Source organism: Homo sapiens, chromosome 13 (genome assembly GCF_000001405.40).
Source record: "Homo sapiens chromosome 13, GRCh38.p14 Primary Assembly".
NCBI lineage: Eukaryota > Metazoa > Chordata > Mammalia > Primates > Hominidae > Homo > Homo sapiens.
Window position 1 is genome coordinate 111,328,010 of NC_000013.11, and position 21,504 is coordinate 111,349,513.

A 21,504-nucleotide genomic window follows, 5' to 3' on the forward strand; every position below is an offset into this window, starting at 1 on the left:
TCATTCTGGATCTTAGTTTCAAATAAAGATTTGCAGGATGCGTAATTGAGAAAATAACAAAACCACAACACAAACCCACAGCTGCTCCCCACACCGGTTCCCAGGTTCTTTAGCGGAGAGCAGAGTGGCTTTGTTTTCGGGGGTGACACTTGTGTATGTCTGTGCTTTTGCAGTGTGTGACGTTCCTCTGTATGACATTTGTGACTACAACGTCTCCAGGGACCGATGCCAGGAGCTCGGGTGCTGCTTCTACGAAGGCGTCTGCTACAAGAAAGCGGTTCCCAGTGAGTAGACGCCCCGGCCACCCCGTGGCGGAAGCCGAGGTAGCTGGTGACCATGCCGACCACTGCCCTGCCTGTCTCCCTTCCTCGGGGTCTCTGTTTGCTGGAAACACCTTTGTATTGTTCTCTGGCCAACTCTTCTGCTCCGTCTTAGTGGGGACAGTAGACTTGGAGTGGGGTTTGGGCTGGAGGGCCTGTGAATGTGACGTAAGCCACCATAGGGGTTCCATTCCCAGATGGGCTGAGCAGGGCATGGACGGGGACAAATGGAGGCCCCCTTCATGGAGGAATTTGGCCATTCTGGGTGGTTGCAGAGGCTGGATTTGGGGAAATAGTGCTGCAGAAACATGGGGCGCCGGCAGGGCCCGGGCCAGTGGCCGGGTGTGGGGTGAGCCCATCAGGGTGGAGCGGACCTTGTCCACCAGGGGCTCTGTGAGCTTGGCCCTGACTGGGGATTCCGTGGGCTGCTTCAACGTCAGACTAGAAGCCAGACCAGACGTGAGGATCTGCTGGAAGCCCCTCAAGCAGCACGGGGTGAAGTGAGGACAACAGGCAACCAGTGGGTGGGTAAGGGCGCCGGAGGCGTTGCCACTCCCCATCCCCGTGAAGGCTTCCGGAGGGAGGCGCGCCCTTCAGAGGACCATGGCTAGTTGTAAAATGTGTTCGAAGGGAGGTGGGAGAAGGTTAAGAAACCAGGATGGCCTGCGCGTGAAGGGCGTTGGGCTCCCACCTCCTCAGCATATTCTCGCCTGTGAGTGCACTGGCCTGCGCCGCTGAGGTCTTCTCATTTCCAAACCCTCATCAAGGTCCACGTGAAGCTTCATGTGTTTCCTTGTCCTGTGGAGGCCCCTTTTGGAAATGAGGGTAAAGGGGCTCTTTGTGCTGCGTGGGGAGGGGTGGACAGCAGCACGGAGGGGAGCAGCCTGCACAGCACGCCCTCGGGAGGGAACAGTGCAGCCCTTACCGGTGGAGATGATGGACGTGGCTGATGAGCTCTCACAGCTCTAGGCTTCCTTGGAGATGAGTTCCAAACCCTCCCTGTCCTAAGCCACTCTTTTCTCCACCCCCACCACCCCAAAGTGAGTAAAGGCCCCTGGCTTTGTGCAGCTCAGGGCCACTTCTTCTTCCTTTTACTTCTTTCTCCTGCATTTCCCGCTAGACTGAGCCTTCAGAGACCAGGCACCAGGTCCTCTTCGTTCCCTGTATCTAGTAGGGCTTAGAAAGTCGGGAAACGTTAGTGACTGATGGGAATGAGTGACTGATGGAAATTTCCAAGTAGTGACCTGCTGGTGGAACCTAGCACAAGCTTGGCTGCTCACCGCTTGCAAAGCCTGTAACAAATGAAGGGAAAGTGACTTTATTTCCAAAGCTAGCAGTGGGGAAGTGGCTGACTTGCGCTTCCAACTTTAGGCTGGGAAGAGGGGCTTAAAAAGAGGCACTCAGAATGGGAGGCACATGGGAGGGGTGCTTCTACAAGGTCTGAGGGTCTCGTTCCAGTGGCTGTCGCAAGCCACAGCCCACCTGGAGCGGGAGGTGTCATCATCTTGATGGCTGGTTGTAGACTCACCGCCTTCAGGTGATCTCTGGCATTTTGCAGCTGGTTCTCTATGCTTGGTCTATCTCAAGATGAGCCCCTAGAACTTGTAAGTAAGCCCATAATTAAATACCAGCACACAGTTAGATAAATGTGCATGGGGCTAGGGGGCGCGTGGTGAGAAAGGGAGACCATGGTGTTGCAAAGAAAGTACATTTCAAGGCTATATTTTAAGACTAAGGAGAACAAAAGTTTTTTGCAGTAAGCTTTCTGCATCGTGAGACTAGGGGAAGAAGAGAAAAAGGAAAAAAAAAGTTTTAAAACTCATTTTCAGGCTACACTGTTTGATTACGTGGGGACTGCCCAGTCCTACAGACGTAAAGCCTTAAGCCAGCTCCTCTGAGATGAAAGGGATATTCTGGGCACAAAATCAGTCAAGAAAGAAAGTGCTGATGGGATTCTGGCTTGCTCCAGAGAGGGTGTCTGTCCTGCTTCGTGGTGAGGATTTGGCACCTCATCAAAAGAAGATGAATTTTCGCTCCTCAGAGACAAATGAGAGGTCACAATGGATACCACTGATAGTTGGGAAGGTTTTCTGATGACGACGGCTCCTGCAGATCCTGGCTTTAGAGACTCGGGACCAGACCCCTCGCTGTCCCAGCCTCCACTTCCAGGAGCCTCTGGGATTCCCAGGATCTCACGCCTTCCTCTGACTACAGATAAAATCGGTTGGAAATTGCTTCAGCTATTATTTTTACCAAGATACTATACCATAAAATTCACCTTTTAAAGTATACAATTCAGTGGCTTTTAGTATATTCACAGTTGTACAGTCATCACCACTAACTCCAGAACATTTGTACCACTCCAGAAAGAACCCTCACGCCCATTAGCAGTCGTGTCCTATCCTTCCCTCTCTCTGGCCCCTGGCAGCCACTCATCTGTCTATGGACTTCCGTATTATGGACATTTCATATAAATGGAACCACATGATTTGTGGTTCTTTCACTCACGTAGTTCTCAAGGTTCGTTCGTGTTGTAGTAGCTATCAGTACTTCCTTTCTGTTTATTGCGGAGTCATTGTCCACTGTATAGGTATGCCGCATTTTGTTGACCCATCTATCGGTTTATAGACATGTGGGTTGTTTCCACTTTTTGGCTATTATAAATGATGCTGCTCAGAACATTTGTATATAGGTTTTTGTGCAAACATGTTTTTTATTCTCTTGGGTATATTCCTAGGGGTGGAATTGCTGGATCATATGTTAACTCTATGCTTAAATTTTTAGGGAACTTCCCAACTGTTTTGCAAGGTGGCTAGATCATTTTCCAGTCCAATCAGCAGCGTATGCGAGTTCCAATTTCTCCACATTCTTGCCAACACTTGTTGTGGTCCTTTTGTTTACAGCCATTGTAATGGGTGTGAAGTTGTATCTCATTGTGGTTTTGATTCATATTATTCTAATGAATAATGATGTTCACCATTGTTGCATTTTTTTTTTTTTTTTTTTTGGCTATTTGGATATCTTCTCTGGAAGAAAAGTCTATTCAAGTCCTTTGCCCAGTTTTAAATTGGGTTAATTGTCTTTTTATTATGGAGTTGTATGGGTTCTTTATATATTCTAGATATTAAACTCTTATTAGAAATGTGACTTGCAAATACTTTCTATTATTCTCTTACATGTCTTTTCTTTTTCTTGATAGTGTCCTTTGAAGCACAAATATTTTTAATTTTTATGAAGTCCATTTTATCCATTTTTCCTTTTGTTGCTTGTGCTTTGGTGTCACATCTAAGAAACCATTGCCTAATCCAAGGTTGCAAATATTTATACCTGTAATATCTTCTAAGAGTTTTATACTTATAACTCTTACATTTTGGTCTTTTTATCCTTTTTGAGTTAACTTTTGTATCTGGTGCAAGGAAGGTTTCCAACTTCATTATTTTGCATATGGATATTCAGTTGTCCCAGCATCATTTGTTGAGAAGATTCTTTTTCCCTGATTAAGTTGACACCCTTGTTGAGAATCAGTTGCCCATAAAAATGAGAGTTTATTTCTAGATTCTCAATTCTATTCTGTTCATCTATATGTCTATCCTTAGCCGGTGCCACAGTTTTGATTACTGTAGCTTTGCAGTAAATTTTGAAATCAGAATGTGTGAGTGCTTCAACTTTGTTCTTCTTTTTCAAGATTATTTTGGCTGTTATGGGTCCCTTGCATTTCCAGATCAAATTTAGCTTGTCAATTTCTGCAGAAAAGAGGTCCTTTGGCAATTTGATTGGGGTTGTGTTGAATCTGTATATAATTTGGGAAGTATTGCCATCTTAACACAATATTAAGTGTTCTGGTCCATGAACAGGGGTAGTCTTTCTATTTATTTCGGTCTTTAATTTTTTTCAATATTTTATAGTTTTCAGTGTACTGATCTTGAGCTTTTTAAATTAAATTTATTCCAAAGTATTTTACTGTTTTTAATGTTACTATAAATGGAATTGTTTTGTTCATTTTCAGATTGTCTATTGCCAGCATATAGAAATATAATTGATTTTTGTATGCTGATCTTGTATCTGGCAACCTTGTTGAACTTGCTCATTCTATTAGTTTTCTAGTTGATTCCTTAGGATTTTTTGCATACAAGATCATGGCATCTGAAAATATAGTTTTACTTCTTTTTTCCTAATCTGAATGCCTTTTAGTTCATTTTCTTGCCTAGTTTCTGACTAAAACCTCCAGTACAATGATGAATAGAACTAGGAAGAGCAGAAGCTTTGTCTTGTTCCTGATCTTAAGAAGAAACTTTCAGTGTTTCACCATTAAATACAGTGGTAACTGTGGGTTTTACTAGATGCCATGTATCTATTAATAGTAAATGCAAGATACAACTTGGAAACACACGAGTTGAGAAAGCTCCCTTCTCTTCCTGCTTTGTTGAGTGTTTTTATCATGAAAGGGTGTTGGATTTTTTTTTCAAATTCTTTTTCTGCATCTATTGAGCACCTTAATGGTGCTCTTTATTACTTCATGTGGATTTGACTTACTGTCTACTTTTCTTTCATTTCATCCTAAGAGACTCCCTTTGGTATTTCGTATAAAGAAGCTTTGCCAGAGATGAATATCCTGACTTTGTTTATCTGGAATGTCTTAATTTACCCTTCAATTTTGAAGCATAGAGTTGCTGTATATAAAATTGCTGGTTGATAGTCTTCCTGACAGCCCTTTGAATGTTTTATCTCATTGCCTTCTGGCCTGCATGGTTTCTGATGAGAAACTGCTGTAAATCTTAAGGCTCCTTTGTATATAATGTGTCACTTCTCTTATGCTGCTTTCAAGATTCTCTCTTTGTCTTTTGCAGTTTGCCAGGTGTCTGGGTGTGGATCTCTCTGAGTTTATCCTACTCAGAGTTCACTGAGCTTCTTGGATGTATAGATTAATGTTAACCAAACTTAGGAAGTTTTTACCATTATTTCTTCAAATATTCTTTCTGTTATCTTTCTCCTCTCCCTCTGGACTTTCATTATGTGTATTTGATAGACTTTATGGTATCCCACAGACCTCTAAGGCTGTATTAATTTTTCTTGGTTATATTTTCTTCCCTTCTGTTACTTAAACTGGATAACCTCATTGACCTATCTTCAAGTTTACTGATTGTTTTGCCTGCTCAAATCTGCTGTTGAGCATCTCCAGTGAATTTTCATTTCTGTTATTGTACTCTCAACTTCAGAATTTCTTTTTGGTCTTAATAATGTCTATATTTCTATTGATATCTTCTATTTGATGAATGTATTAGTCATTTTTTACACTGCTATAAAGAACTACCTAAGACCGGGTAATTTATAAAGGAAAGAGGTTTAATTGACTCACAGTTCTGCATGGCTAGGGAGGCCTCAGGAAACTTACAATCATGCCAGAAGGCAAAGGTGAAGCAAGACATGTCTTACGTGGCAGCAAGGTTGTGGGAAGGGAACTGCCAAACACTTTTAAACCATCGGATCTTGTGAGAACTCAGTATCATGAGACTATCATGGAGTAAACTGCCCCCATGAGCCAACCACCTCCCACCAGGTCCCTCGCTTGACATGTGAGAATTACAATTCGAGATGAGATTTGAGTGGGTCACAGAGCCAAATCATATCAATAAAATATTTTCCTTTTACTTTTATTTAGTTCCTTAGACATGATTTCTTCTAGTTCTTTGAATATGCTTAAAATGGTTGATTTAAAGTCTTTGTCAAGTAAGTCCAATGTCTGTGCTTCCTCAGTGATGATTTCTATTAATGGCATTTTTTATGTATATGGCCATACTTTCTCATTTCTTTGTATGTTTGACATTTTTCTTTCTTGAAAATTGGACATTTTAGGTAAGATAATATAGCACCTCTGAGAATCGGGTTCTTTCACCTCCCCAGGTTTTATTGTTGCTGCTGTTTGTTGTTGTGGTTGTTTGATGACTTTCCTGAACTAACTCAGTAAAGTCTTTATTCTTTGTGGTGTGTGACCACTAAAAAGTCTTCTTGGGTAGCTACTAGACAAAAATTCCTTAGATGCCTGGAAACACAAGCCTCTCAGACTTTGCATAGGGGTTCTGTGTGCGTGCTGAGGCACACCTTCAACAAAGTCAGAATATTTCTAGCTCTGCCTTAGCTTTCACTTCCTGCTTATGCAGATCCTTAAGTCAGCCAGAAGTGAGGTCCCAGGGCCACCATAGGTCTTTCCTTGCAAAGCCCACAGCACTGGACATGTCCATGGCCCTCTAGATTCCCAGGAATGTGACAGAGCATTTCAGAGCTCTCTATGCACATCTCATTTCCCAGATTTTCATGCTAAGCTTGTTAGTTAGCCTCTTGTTTTCCCTCAACTGCTAACCAACACTTTAGCCAGTAAAACAATTTTCAGTTGCTTCTGATTATTTATAACAAATGCCTGGGGAAAAAGCTGTTCTCACCGAATGAGCTCAGATCAAATAAAGCTGATATTCCAAGGAAGCACCAGACAGATCAAATAATGACAACTCTCCGACGATGGGGCTTTGAAGGAGGTCCCACCCTGTTCTGCCCGCTGCAGTGGCTGCCAGGCTGCTGGCTTTACCATGATTACAGGCTGTTGATTTTCAAGCTACCATGGAGCTGGAGGGTGGGCAGGAGAGATGGGAACAGGGCTAGATAAAAGGTCCAAGCTTGCTCTTTTACTGAGATTCAGCTGTTTGCCTCAAACAAACAGATTTCTGCAAGCTTTTGGTTAATTTCCAGACTTCTGAAAAACTTTCCTCTGGTGATTTTTGCCAGTGTTCTCATTGTTTTTATGGAGGAAGAAATTGGCAGGGGGGTTCTCGCTCTGCTGTTTTTGCTGGTATCACCCTGAAAGTTAATTATGGGCTTTACTGAAGCCCTAGTCCGGTTGTACATAATCAGTTAGTGAGAGTTACAAGATGTAGTGCTTTTTCCCGAAGGAGTCCATTATCCTTCACCTGACTCACCTGTCTCATCGTAAAACCCATGCCCTTTAGCCAGAATCTTACTTGAGAGATCTTTTTGGGTTCCAGGCCTTCCAGTGTTGAACGGCCTCTCATATGGCTTCATTCCAGCAGCTCGTCCTCTGAGGCATGTGGCAGTACTCCTGAAGCCAAGCTCATGGCAGTGGGTGCTGACTTGGCCATGGTTTGCTGCATTGGCACTTGTCATCATCTTGTTTTTGTTGTGTGAAATTGAGGTTTGCTGCTCACGTTGCACATGCAGAGAGCAGCAGATGCTCACAGTCGTGCTCAGTTCATTTCCATCATAGAGTTGGACTTCTTACAGAACTCCAGTTTCCAAGGCACTTATACCACTTAGTTTTTCTGAGAAGTGTACCATGTAAGGCTCCTGAAAGTGGCAATCGTTAGCATCCAAAAGGTATTTAAGTTTATTCTTTCAATCTTCTCCATATAATGATTAGTGATCCCAATTTCCTCACATCCCAATGAAGCAGAGATCCAACCGTGTAAAGTGGTGTAAATGCATCACTCCAGGAAGATCACAGCGAGGAAGGGAACTCACGTCCAAGCTGCTACTGCCGCTGCTTTTGCCACCTCTCCCATCCCCTGAGCACCTTTTTATCTGTACCGTGCAGGTGCTGGCCTGTTTGTAAGTGTTGGCATGTATGTCGAACATGGCTTAAGTTAGAACAATCGCCGCATGCCTGTCATCCATTTTAAAAGTGAGCCTTAATCCCTATAGCAGCTTCATGACTGGTGTTATAAGGAACCCAGAAGAGAACACAAGCTCTCAAGAAAGTTTTTGACTTGGAGAGGGCTCACTGTTTTGCAAGGGGGTATATCATTTTTGCATGGAAGCAACCATTAAGTTCTTTCCATCATTCTAACTTTAACAGCTGGGTTGTGTGACTGTGCTTTTCTTGACTCCTGGTTTCTTTCGGGCCTGTAGGAAGAGCCTGGGCAGTGGGCCCTGCCTTGGGGCTCTCACTGTGCCCTCACATTACTTTTCATTTCTTTGACATCTTTCTCATTCAAAACGACGAATGAACCTTTGTGCTGTGCAAGTTGTAGTATTCAGTGACAGGGTATTATGAGCTCTTTGTGCACATAATTCCATGTTATGAAAACCTTTCACCAACTTCTTAAATTGGCTGGTTTGAAGTGCACATTGTGTTATGGCATAATCTGTATTATTAAGAATATGAATTGGGAATTAGCATTAGATCTTTCAGAAAGAATTGGGAATTCAAAGAGAAAGACTTGCCTTCATTCTTCAGTCTTGATTTAGGGTATGTTATTTAACATGTCATTTCTTCCAAGTATCTGACTTCAGTTTCTTCATGGGACTTGCTGAGATGATTTCAAAACTTTTGTTTAACTATATTTTGGGAACATTTACCAAGACGTTTCTTAAAGAAAATAATCCTTTCTTCAATTGCTGCTGTTCTGAAAGATAAACCAGACTTTGTGGTTTATGATAAGCCAAAGATATGGTCTGTAATAAATAGTGTTGCTAGACAGACACTGTACGGAGCGCATCATTGAGGTTGAGTCTCCATCTTTAGGAGCTTGGCATCAACGACAAAGAACGTGAGCACGTAGGAAGATACGGGAGATGTACTGACGGTGAAATACTAAGACGCTGACTAATATGTGTGTCTCTTTAACAGGACTTCACTCACATAATTTTGAATTTATTCCATGAGCCAAGACACAAATTCATACTAAGGAATAAAACATTTCCTGGAGTTCAAGAATTTCAGGGTTACCTTCTTGCCTCATGAACGCTCTTAATTCACCCTTTCACTTTATTTGTGCATTTCAATTCGATCGATTCTGTTTGTTGAACAGCATTTAAGTGCAGATTCTCTGGGCAAGCTCTAGGCTACCTCTCAGATCCATCCTCTATTGCTGTGTGACAAATTACCCCAAAACTTAGTGGCTTAAAGCAACTTAGAGGCTTTGCTGGGTGGGTTGGGTTTGGCTGTCTCATGAGATTGTGGTCAAGATGCCAAGTGAGGCTGCAGTCACCTGAAATCTTGGCGTCCCAGATGATTCACTTTGCTGGGAAGTTGATACCAGATGTTATAGGAAGATGACTCACTTTGCTGGGAAGTTGGTACCAGATGTTATAGGAGGCCTCTTCTCCTCGCATGAGGGCTGCAGTCTTTCCCAGAGCAACTGGCCCAAGAGAGATCAGGGCAGAAGCTGCAATGTCTTTTTTACCTGGTCTCGGGGGTTAGACTCTGGCATCTCCTTTGGCTCCAGGGATCAGCGTTGTTCAGTGTGGGAACATCTATCTAGGGTGTAAATACCAGGAGGTGAGAATCGGGAGGCCATCCTGGAAGCTGGTTATGGTAGCCCCGGATATTTGGAGGTGAGTCTGCCCCACTGTTTCCCCTCCTCAGGTAAGCAAGTTTCCACGGGACAGTCCTCACTTAAAGAAATAAGGCAGCTGATTGGAAGAATGTTTGACAAGCAGTTTCCCAGTGTGCTCCTCGGTACATGCACATTCCTGTTATCTGACAGCTTGCAACCCCAAGCCTCGCTCCCTTCCTCCAGCCTCTCTGTGAGGAACTCTTATCGAGCGCCCATTGGGTACTTCACCATTCCTTACTGAGGTCACCTCGGTATGAGGAAAATCGAGGATGTGGGTTACCCTCACAAGCTGGCTTCAATCCCCTCTCAGTTTTCTGACTTCAGTCCCCATGGAAAGAATCCTGGGCACCTCATCCATTGCTGGTGGCCCTGTGATGAGTCCAGGGAGTGCGGATCCCTTCGGAAGCTGGCTCATGTGCCCAGGAGGCCACTTTCTCTGCACCTGCGGCCTTGCTTCTGGGGTGGGTTGAATTGTGTACACCCAATGCATATGTTGAAGTTTAGATCCCTGGTACCTGTGAATGTGACCTAATTTAGAAAAAAGGGTCTTTGCAGGTGTAATTAGGTAAGATGAGATCATAGTGGAGTAGAGTGAGCCCTCCATCCAAAATGGCTGGTGTCCTTGTAAAAAGAGAAGAGACACAGAGACAGAGGAAAGACAGCCACGTGACAATAGGGGCAGAGACTGCTGTGATGCTAGGAGGAAGCCAGGGAGGACCCTTCCCGGGAGCCTTTGAAAAGAACACGGCCCTGCTGACAGTTTGTTCTTGGACTTCTGGCCTCCAGAACCATGAGATGATCAATTTCTATTGTTTTAAGCCCCCCAGTGCATGGTACTTTCTTACAGCATCCCTGGCAAACTGACACACCATCCAGGGAAATTACATCTGATGGTGTTGTTACTGCTTCACGACTTGGAAGCAGTTTAGCAGGAGGGGAGGTATGGGAATTGAAGCAAATCGTGTCACCTGCACTTGATATTTGCAAGTCAGCCAGTTTCTTTGAGAGAGTAAGAAAGCAATTAGAGAAGAGACTAATATTGATAATAATAACAACAATAAGAATTACTCTGTATATGTGATTAGCCAACCACTTAAGAACTTTACTTGCATTCATTAAAAAATTCCTTACATCAACCTGACGGAAGGAACATAGAAGAACAAACAGTAGATGAGGATATTATTTGACCAAGGACTCTGAGAGGAATGATGCTCGTGTACAAATGTTAGGACTTGAGGGGTCCAAGTCCTGAACCAATGAGCCGACGGAGATCCAGATATCAGCCCTCGGTGCTGGGCGGTGCTGCGCCCCTCAGGCCTCTTGCACAGACAGGGCCCTGCCTGCTGAGCAGTGGGCAGTCTCTCAGAAAGAGGCTCAGGAGGGGGCTGAGCAGTTCCTCCTCCCAGTTACCCCCGTCTTGGAGAGGCTGGGAGTGCACTCACGCAGGGAAACCCAGGGTGGCGGGGCTGCCCCTCGTGGCCACCTGGGGAGGCTTGACTTTTGCTGAGGCTGGGTTGGAGAAGGCACGGGAAACTTGGGGATTGCAGGAACCCCTTTTAATACAAGGAAGCCCAGTCAAGGATTTGTCTATGATCCAATAAGTGTTTTCCTTGTATTCAGTTTAGGGGAGGAATTGACCTGGGCATTGAGGAGCCATTTCCAGGGAGCTGGGGAGCACAGCAGGAACAGAGGGGCCAGCGCCATCTCTCCACGCACCCCCAGGGGTCAGGAGCCAGCACCATCTATCCTCCACACACTCCCGAGGGTCAGGAGCCAGCGCCATCTCTCAGCACAACCCCGTGGGTCAGGAGCCAGCGCCGTCTCTCAATGCACCCCCGGGGGTCATGAGCCAGCGCCATCTTTCCATGCACTCCCGGGGGTCAGGACCCAGTGCCGTCTCTCCATGCACTCCCGGGGGTCAGGGTGGTCACAAGGTGTCCTCTGGGTGGCACTGACTACCACCTGGAGCTGCCTTTCACAGGGAGCCCTCGCCTGCCTGCGGGGGCCTTTGGAGATGTCCACAGAGCTGAGTCTCCAGGAGACGCTGGGGAGGGTGGGTGAGGAGTGCTGACCATGGGCAGCCGCGCCGGGAGGGCCCGCACCCGACTCTGGGAGGGTTGCCTTTTCTTCATCTTCTTCCTTTTCTATTTACCTGGATCGAAATGACTTCAAATCCCACCATTTTTCAGTTTACATCCACGTGTTCTCTGCCTTGATTGTGATCATCGCTGGGGCCTTCGTCATCACCATCATCTACAGGTCGGTCCCTTTGTTCTTTACTGGGAGGGTGGGGAGGAGGGGACTCACCTCTCCTGGCCGCAGCTTCCTGCCTGCCTGGGCTCCTTCGGGCTTGGTGCTGCTGGGGTGACTGAGAACAGCTCTCCGTGAGCCTGGGAAAGGGAACTGGCCAGGCTCACGGAGGGCCCCACTGATTTTCTCCAGAGTGCTTGTTGATGAAAATCATAACCCATGTTTAGTGAGCACCTGTGCTTGTTGATGAAAATCATAACCCATGTTTAGTGAGCACCTGTGCTTGTTGATGAAAATCATAACCCATGTTTAGTGAGCACCTGTGCTTGTTGATGAAAATCATAACCCGTGTTTAGTGAGCACCTGTGCTTGTTGATGAAAATCATAACCCGTGTTTAGTGAGCACCTGTGCTTGTTGATGAAAATCATAACCCGTGTTTAGTGAGCACCTGTGCTTGTTGATGAAAATCATAACCCGTGTTTAGTGAGCACCTGTGCTTGTTGATGAACATCATAACCCGTGTTTAGTGAGCACCTGTGCTTGTTGATGAAAATCATAACCCGTGTTTAGTGAGCACCTGTGCTTGTTGATGAACATCATAACCCGTGTTTAGTGAGCACCTGTGCTTGTTGATGAACATCATAACCCGTGTTTAGTGAGCACCTGTGCTTGTTGATGAAAATCATAACCCGTGTTTAGTGAGCACCTGTGCTTGTTGATGAACATCATAACCCGTGTTTAGTGAGCACCTGTGCTTGTTGATGAACATCATAACCCGTGTTTAGTGAGCACCTGTGCTTGTTGATGAAAATCATAACCCGTGTTTAGTGAGCACCTGTGCTTGTTGATGAAAATCATAACCCGTGTTTAGTGAGCACCTGTGCTTGTTGATGAAAATCATAACCCGTGTTTAGTGAGCACCTGTGCTTGTTGATGAAAATCATAACCCGTGTTTAGTGAGCATCTGTGCTTGTTGATGAAAATCATAACCCGTGTTTAGTGAGCACCTGTGCTTGTTGATGAAAATCATAACCCGTGTTTAGTGAGCACCTGTGCTTGTTGATGAAAATAATAACCCGTGTTTAGTGAGCACCTGTGCTTGTTGATGAAAATCATAACCCGTGTTTAGTGAGCACCTGTGCTTGTTGATGAAAATCATAACCCCTGTTTAGTGAGCACCTGTGCTTGTTGATGAAAATCATAACCCGTGTTTAGTGAGCACCTGTGCTTGTTGATGAAAATCATAACCCGTGTTTAGTGAGCACCTGTGCTTGTTGATGAACATCATAACCCGTGTTTAGTGAGCACCTGTGCTTGTTGATGAACATCATAACCCGTGTTTAGTGAGCACCTGTGCTTGTTGATGAACATCATAACCCGTGTTTAGTGAGCACCTGTGCTTGTTGATGAACATCATAACCCATGTTTAGTGAGCACCTGTGCTTGTTGATGAAAATCATAACCCGTGTTTAGTGAGCACCTGTGCTTGTTGATGAAAATCATAACCCGTGTTTAGTGAGCACCTGTGCTTGTTGATGAAAATCATAACCCGTGTTTAGTGAGCACCTGTGCTTGTTGATGAAAATCATAACCCGTGTTTAGTGAGCACCTGTGCTTGTTGATGAAAATCATAACCCGTGTTTAGTGAGCACCTGTGCTTGTTGATGAAAATCATAACCCGTGTTTAGTGAGCACCTGTGCTTGTTGATGAAAATCATAACCCGTGTTTAGTGAGCACCTGTGCTTGTTGATGAAAATCATAACCCGTGTTTAGTGAGCACCTGTGCTTGTTGATGAAAATCATAACCCGTGTTTAGTGAGCACCTGTGCTTGTTGATGAACATCATAACCCGTGTTTAGTGAGCACCTAAGACTCTTAAGAGCTCTGCTCAGCCTTTTCAGCCCTTGAAGCCACTGACGATGTAAGTGAACTTACTGTCCCCGGACTGGGATGATTGACGCAGCATCGAGGGGGTCCCGAGGCTGATGGATGGGGCAGTGAGGCTCTAACTCAGGCTCCCAGTTGTCTCAGAGTCCCTGAACCCAAGGCTGCCTGCATCTCTTGGCCTGTGGCCTGCGTCCTCATTGCAGGGTGTCAGGGTTTGGAGGTGTCTCAGAGATGAGTCCACTCCCTCTCATTTTAATGGTGAGGAAATGCAGACCCGGGGGGCCAAGGAAGCAGGTGGCTATTCCCAGGGCAGGGCTGGAATCCAGCATCTCACTCCCCGGCCACCACCTTCACCATGAGCCCACTCTGTGTGCATACAAGCCCCTGAGATTATTTGAGTCTCTTTGTCCAGGAATGAGTAAAGCCATTTTCCTACCATGAGTGGTGCTGTATGCTGTCTTATGTGTGTTAATCATGAAGATGAGCCGGCAGTAGCCTGCAGTGCAACACACACCTTCCCCCTGCCCGGAGCTGTCTTTGGGAGTCTAGCTGCCTCATACAGCCATCTGTTTGGAGCCTGCACAAGAAACTAAAATGAGGCTGGATGTGGTGGCTCATACTTGTAATCTCCCAGCACTTTGGGAGGCTGAGGTGGGAGGATTACTTGAGCCCGGGAGTTGGAGGCTGCAGTGAGCCGTGTTTGTGCCATTGCACTCCAGCCTGGATGACAGATCAAAACTGTCTCAAAAAAAAAAAAAAAAAAAAGAGAGAGAGAAAGAAACGAAAATGAGAACTATTACATCAAAGCATTTACCTTAAAAAATAAGTATGCATGATCAGGAACCTGTGTTTTCAGAGGGATGTCCTGGTGGGTGGGAGGGAGGAACTGGAGAGTTTTCCATCTGTAACTTCCCTGACTGTGATAAAACCCTCTTCCCATCAGAGTCATTCAGGAGAGCAGGAAAGAAAAGGCCATCCCTGTGGATGTCGCGCTGCCACAGAAGTCCAGCGAAAAGGCGGAGTTGGCCTCATCCAGCAGCAAGTTAGGGCTGAAGCCTGCGAGTCCTGGGCCTCCAAGTGCTGGGCCCTCGATGAAGAGTGACGAGGATAAGGATGATGGTGAGAAGCTTCTGGAATGATCCTCAGCCTAAGGTCAAGGGCGTGGCTCTGTTCCCTCGGGAGACCTTCCCTGGGAAGGGGCTCAACATCTACACAGGCCCTTCAACCTCAGTGATCAGTGTTGCAGTTTGTTCAAAATTGTAATGTACCCAACATTGGAGGTTCAGGTTTGCAGGGTGGATGTGGCTGTCAGTGTGAGTTTCCTTCTGTGAGTCTTGTCCTCCCCCTTCCCATCCCCTTTTGCCTCCCTGTCATTTCACCCTCTGGCGGGGCCCTCATTGTTAGTGTGGGAAGCTCCTGGGGAGGGGGCAAGAGTCCTGCAGAAACTGCACATTTGATCAGGTGACTTCCTGTGGGGAGGCTGCAGGGCTGCCATGGGTACTCTCTGTGGCACCCTGGCCACGTGGTGGTCTTGGTTGTGCAGGGAGGCTGCCAGGCTGCTGTGGGTATTCTCTGTGGTGCCCTGGCCGCCTGGTGGTCGTGGATGTGCGGGGAGGCTGCAGGGCTGCTGTGGGTACTCTTTGTGGTGCCCTGGCCACGTGGTGGTCGTGGTTGGAGAGGTGGACGATCACTCTATGCCTGCTTCGGTTTCCAGGAAGGAAAGTTTCTCATATGTTGGTTTACCTGCTTTGGGGGCCCTTGGAGGTTGCCGGTTGCTTTTCCTAGATCAGCACCTTGCCAGGTTAGAGAAAGAAACATCTCAAATGGTAATCCTTATCTTCAGAGATGTTTGTACAGGATACAAACGGCCTGGCCTTACCCATTGTTACCAAATAGACTTGGCTTTACAGGGACCATCAGGAAAATCAGGAGGCAGGGTAAGAGGGCAACCCACACTTGATTTCAGATCTGGAATGCCTGGCCCCTAACTGAGGCTGCGTCTGTGCAAATGAGGCTTTCCTGCAGGACAGATGTTTGCCTGGTTAAGGGAGCCTCCTGTGTAGAGAGATGATGTGGGAGGAAGAGTGTTTTACTGTCCCCTAGAATGCAATGAGAAACATAGGAGGATACGGCCATCCCCAAAACTGGCTTTTGAATCAATCATTGCCAATCAGACACCATGTAGATGGGTTCAAAGATCCTGATGAAATCTTTTCGGGACTGCTGAATATTCCATTTGAAAAAACAATTCTTCTTTTCTAAAAATCTAGTAACAGGGACAATAACAGAAGCCGAAGAAACTGAGGACTGACTGAGACGCATGAAGAAGTGGAGATTGTCAGAATTATCCAAATGAAATGGTACAGCAGGTGCACTGTTAACAGTGTGATGGAATGACCACCCAAAGAGAAAAAAATAAAGGTATTTTGAAAATTGCTTCTCGTCCGATGTTGCTTATTCATTGCTATATTTTTATCTTAGGAGAGAGAAAGCCTGTGGGGTAGGAGAGTGGGAACCTGAACTTTCAGTTTTTAATGGCACTGCTTGTCACTAATATTAACACTATGGGGGCTCACAGCATGGGCTCAAGGTGGTGTCCTCGAGGTCTTCTTTTCAGAAGGCAGGCTGCACTTTCACCAAGAGTGGGCTGCCACACAGACACAGGCGGTTCAAGACTCTGGCATTTGGCTTTGCTAGGACTCAGCCGTGCTGCGAGGGAGGAGCAGCGTCTGGATCTGGATCTGAGAGGCCCCAAAGCATAGGCCGTAGCTGCCTGAGAGCCCCTCATGCAAGGCAGTGCGCTCAGTCCCAGAGTGGCCGACAGATGCTCACAGGCACGCGCAGGCCGGCCCAGGGCAGCCCACGGATCTTGGAGGCTCCGTTTTCTCACCTCAAAAATATGCATTCTACCCAGGAACTGTGGCCCTTATGTCCATGCATTGCAGCTTTAAGAAAGGATAATAAACAATCCAGATAGACCAGACGCATCCTGCTCCAAGGATTATTTAGATGAGAAATCAGTTTGCGTGAGCCCCTGGAAGCCCCTCGTCTGCTTTCTGGCTGGTAAACCTTGTCAGCTGCTCATGGGCTTGGCCCAGCGTCTGCACTGCTCTAGGGCTTCCTGCAGGGGGAGGTTATGGGCCTGCTGTTAGCCTCTTTCTGCTCACGGGCACTGACTGGCTGGCCTTAGGCCAGTCGGGCTCTTGTATTGGTGTAGATCAGGTGTCAGCACACTTTTTGTAAAGAGCCAGAGAGCTGGTATTTCAGGCTTTCAGTTCCGTAAGGTCCCTCCGCTGCTTGGCTCTGCGGCTGTAGCGTGAAGGCAGACACCGACGATGCCTCCAGGAAGGACGTGGCCTTGCTCCAAAAAGACTTTCTTATGGAAGCCAGTGACGGGCTGGACGCTGCCTACAAGCTGTAGTCGGTAAACCCCCAGGCTAGAGATGTTAGAAATGTGTTTTGGGGCCAGGCGTGGTGGCTCGCGCCTGTGATCCTAGCACTTTGGGAGGCTGAGGCGGGTGGATCACCTGAGGTCAGGAGTTCGGGACCAGCCTGGCCAACATGGCAAACCCCGTCTCTACTAAAAATACAAAAATTAGCTGGGCATGGTGGCACGTGCCTGTAATCCCAGCTACACAAGAAGCTGAGGCAGGTGAATTGCTTGAACCTGGGGGGCAGAGGTTGCAGTGAGCTGAGATCATGCCACTTCACTCCAGCCTGGGCGAGAGTCCATCAGAAAAAAAAAAAAAAAAAAAAGAGAGAAAGAAAGAAAAAAAAAAAGAAAAAAATGTGTTTTGGAGGTCAGTCACCTGGGATCTGAGCACTCCTTAGACTGTCTTCAAATAAAGCCTTGGCCAATGACTGGGAATGGGTTTTGGCAAGAACCTAGAGCTGTGCAGATGGGGCTCAGCGGCCCTAACTGGCAGAGTCTCTTTGCACGATGTTTCCAGCGTGGCCCGGACCATCCCTTGCAGAGGTGAGGCAGAATGGATGACCCCACAAAATAACACTAAAAGCCAGGTTTGGCCGGAGGCACGCCTACTTCTTAGCTTTCATCCTCAGGAGGAAGCGGCACACAGAGCGGCCTCCCGGCAGCCACGCTTTCTGGGCAGCTGGGTCTTTGCTGCCTGTGGCTCCTTTGGTGACTCCTCAGTCACTAGAGAGCAAGTTACTGGTGGAACACGTCCACCTTTGTGGGCCCCTTTGCTGAAGCCCTCAACCCTGCCCCCTTCCCTGAAAACAATCAAGATCCAGCCTGAAAAAAGTGCCAGGTTATTGGTGGACTGGATGCTCGTCAGAGACGTTAGGGGTCACCTGGGGCCTCCGGTTTGGGAAGCCCCTGTGACTCACTAGGGTGTGGGTCGGGGGAAGGGCTTCCCCATGTGTGGTTTGGGGACTGGCCTTGCTAAGGGCAGTGGGGTAGGGAATGAAGGAAGGGAAGCAGTTCAGTGTGTAGCTGGGAAGAGGACCGGGCCCTGGGGACTGCTCCGGCCAGGGCCCCCCAGGAGAAGGGCCAGAACTCCTAAGTACAAGTGAGGCCGGTGGGCACGTGGCCCCATCAGGGACAGCCAGCCATGGCCCGGATGTGTGACAACCCTGCACAGGCCGGGGCCTCTGCCCTCGCGCAGTTGGTGCCCTGCTGAGCGAGGCGAAGGCCAGACAGAGCTGCCAAGGAAGCGCTTCCCAGGCAGTGGCTTCTCACAGAACCCCTGGCCGGCAGCCACGGGCACAGCTAGTCGTGGCCAAGCTCAGAGTCAGTTTGGGAGAGGACAACCCAAAGACACAAACAAGCAGGCATGGTTTGTTGCGGTCACCAGATAGGCTGCCATAGCCATAAAATGTGTCTCTTGGTTAGAGGTGACTTCGCTGGTGTCAGCAGAAGTACTGTGAGCAGGGAAGGCAAATACACACCTGGGATATTGTCTATGGCTGCGAAGATTCAGTGTTGTTCCTTTCATGATGGAAGGGCCCAATGTACTCAACCTGCTAACGGGTGGTATCTGCCTACCCTGAAAAGTGGTGCCACATTGGTCTCTGTTGTTGGGAAAGGTAGGCAGTCGACTGATCAGCCCTGGTCAGAGGAAGGTCGGGCCATTGAGCCCATGCACAGCCTTTATCCCTGCTGCTGCAGCCGCTCTGTGCATGAGCCCTTCCAGCAAGCCTCAGGGTAGCCGAGGAAGGGCTAGTTGACATTCACGGGATATCAGATTGTCCATATAATTATTAAATGCCTGCCGGCAGTGGACATCTTGTGGTGGACATAGGTTCTGAGAAGTTCACACACGTGTTTCTCACTTTGACCCCTGATAGAGTTTGGATCCTTGTCCTCACCCAAATCTCATGTTGAAATGTGATACCCAGCGTTGGAGTTGTGGGACCTGCTGGGTGGTGGGTGGATCATGGCGGCAGATCCCTCATGAGCAGCTTGAGCCATCCTCTTGGTGACAAGTGAGCTCTCTCTCTGAGCTCACAAGAAATCTGGTCGTTTAAAAGTCTGAGGCACCTCCCCCAACACCCTCCCTCCTGCTTCTGCTTTCATCATGTGATGTGCCTGCTCCGCTCCCGCTTCTCTTTCTGCCATGATTGGAAGCTTCCTGAGGCCTCACCTCAGGAAGCTGAGCAGATGCTGGTACCATCCCTTTGCAGCCTGCAGAACCGTGAACCAACTGAACTTCTTTTCCTTATGTTACCAGTCTCAGGAGTTCTTTGTAGCGGTGCAAGAACAGCCTAATACAACCCCCTTGACACTAATTTCCCAGTCTTATTCTCTTCAAGCCCATGGCCAGCTGGTCAACCCATGAGCCACTGCCCACAAGTTGATGTGAATCAGCACCCCAGGGCGTGTCTTATTCCATAGAAAGTGGATGGTGGATCATGCCACACAGTTTGCTCACTGGGAGGGTCTCCTTTCATTACTGGGTTTCGTGTGAGGCCACAGCACAGGATCTGCCTACTTGCTGCAGTGCTGGGGTAGTGTGCAGGTCCACCCACGAACCTACACTTGCAAGAACTGGTTTCTACCGGACCCTAATAGCAAGCCCAGAGCTGCTTTTGGAAAGGAGATTTGCCAACAGAAGAGGGGATAACCTAACTCAAATCTTCAGAGATTTGTGCAATGATTCTCCTATTAGAACTTGCCAGATGGGTCCCTACAGTTTCTCAGTATGATTCAGACTATTCTCGAGGTCTTAGGCCTCCAGGACAATGCAGGACAATGCAAAAGACTTGGCCTTGTCCTGAATAAGGTGATTGTATAATTTACAATCCAAACCTGGATTTTGAAAGTGAAAGGAAGTGCTACTGATAATTCTGCCAGAACAACAGGTGTACCTGGGCCTTGGCAACGAAGCAACTCATCAAAGGCACATTGCCGTTGCTGCTACATGAAGGCAGTTTCTTATTTTTCTTTATGGATGCACTGGAATAAAATATTTTTCAAGTTGACAGCTGCAAACTGGTTGCATACCAGCTGATTTATTCTAGTAAAGGTAAATGTGTAATTGCACCTGCCACTGTCATCAACACCTCACTAAATCTGCGCGATTTACTGTTGCTCTCCAAGGCCCATGTGGCTGTTGTACTTGCTAAACAGGTGAGTTAGGTGAAGAGTGTGGCAGGAATCATCACTATATTCGTCCATTTTCACACTGCTATAAAGAACTACCTGAGACTGGGTAATTTATGAAGAAAAGGATTTAATTGACTCATAGTTCCACAGGCTTAATGGGATGCATGACTGGGAGGCCTCAGGAAACTTACAATCATGGAGGAAGGGGAAGGGGAAGCAAAGACCTTCTTTACATGGTGGCAGGAGAGAGAGAGAGAGAAAAAGAGACTGAGAGAGAGAAGAGGGAAATGCCACACACTTTTAAACCATCAGATCTCATGAGAACTCACTGTCACAAGAACAGCAAGGGGGAAATCTGCCCCCATAATCCAGTCACCTCCCACCAGGACCCTCCTCCAATTTGACATGAGATTTGGGTGGGGACACAAATCCAAACTGTATCAATCACCCAGGCACCAGGTCTTTAGTGGAGGCACTAATATTTGAAGTCTCTTTGGGATAGGATACCACTTTTTCTTCTTAACAACTTTATTGAGGTATTATGGGCCTATACCAAAGCGCACATATCTAAAGTGTACAATTCTGTAAGTTTTGGCGTATGAATACACCCATGAAATCATCACTACAATCAAGTTAATGAACACATCCATCACTCAAAAGTTGAGTCAGGCTCCTTTGTGATCTCTCACACCCGCCCTTCTTCACCCTTCCTGTCGTGCCCAGCAACCATGGATCTGCTCATTGACACCAGAGATTAGTTTTTATTTTCTATAAATTGAATCATACAGTATGTATTCTTTTTTGTCTGATTTCTTTCACTTAGCATAGGTATTTTGACATTCAGCCATGTTGATGTGTTTATCAATGGTGCATTGCTTTTTACTGCTGAGTAGTATTCCTTCATGCATATACCACATTTGTTTATTCAGTCACTTGGTGATTGACATTTAGATTATTTCCAGTTTTTGCTTATTACAGATAAATCTTCCATGAATATTCACATACAAGTTTTGTGTGGACATATGCTTTCATTTGTTTTGGGTAAATACTTAGTGAAATGGCTGGTCCACATGGTAGATGTATTTTTATTTTATTTTATTTTATTTGAGATGGAGTCTCACTCTGTCACCAGG

General features: G+C 46.7%; 1 protein-coding gene across 3 annotated transcripts in view; it reads left to right on the forward strand.

Annotated features, from left to right (window-relative positions):
- TEX29 (testis expressed 29) overlaps positions 1–16,239 on the forward strand; it is a 28,064-nt gene extending 11,825 nt beyond the window's left edge. For 2 of the 3 annotated variants that reach the window (XM_017020387.2, NM_152324.3), the window contains exons 3-6: positions 174–284; positions 11,854–11,923; positions 14,747–14,922; positions 16,074–16,239. In XM_017020387.2, the coding sequence (XP_016875876.2) occupies positions 174–284; positions 11,854–11,923; positions 14,747–14,922; positions 16,074–16,114 (398 nt within the window). In that variant the 3' untranslated portion in view covers positions 16,115–16,239. Of the gene's footprint in view, positions 1–173; positions 285–11,284; positions 11,430–11,853; positions 11,924–14,746; positions 14,923–16,073 lie in introns of all 3 variants that reach the window. The other variant, NM_001303133.1, reaches the window with a different exon arrangement.
- The last annotated feature ends 5,265 nt before the right edge of the window (positions 16,240–21,504 follow it).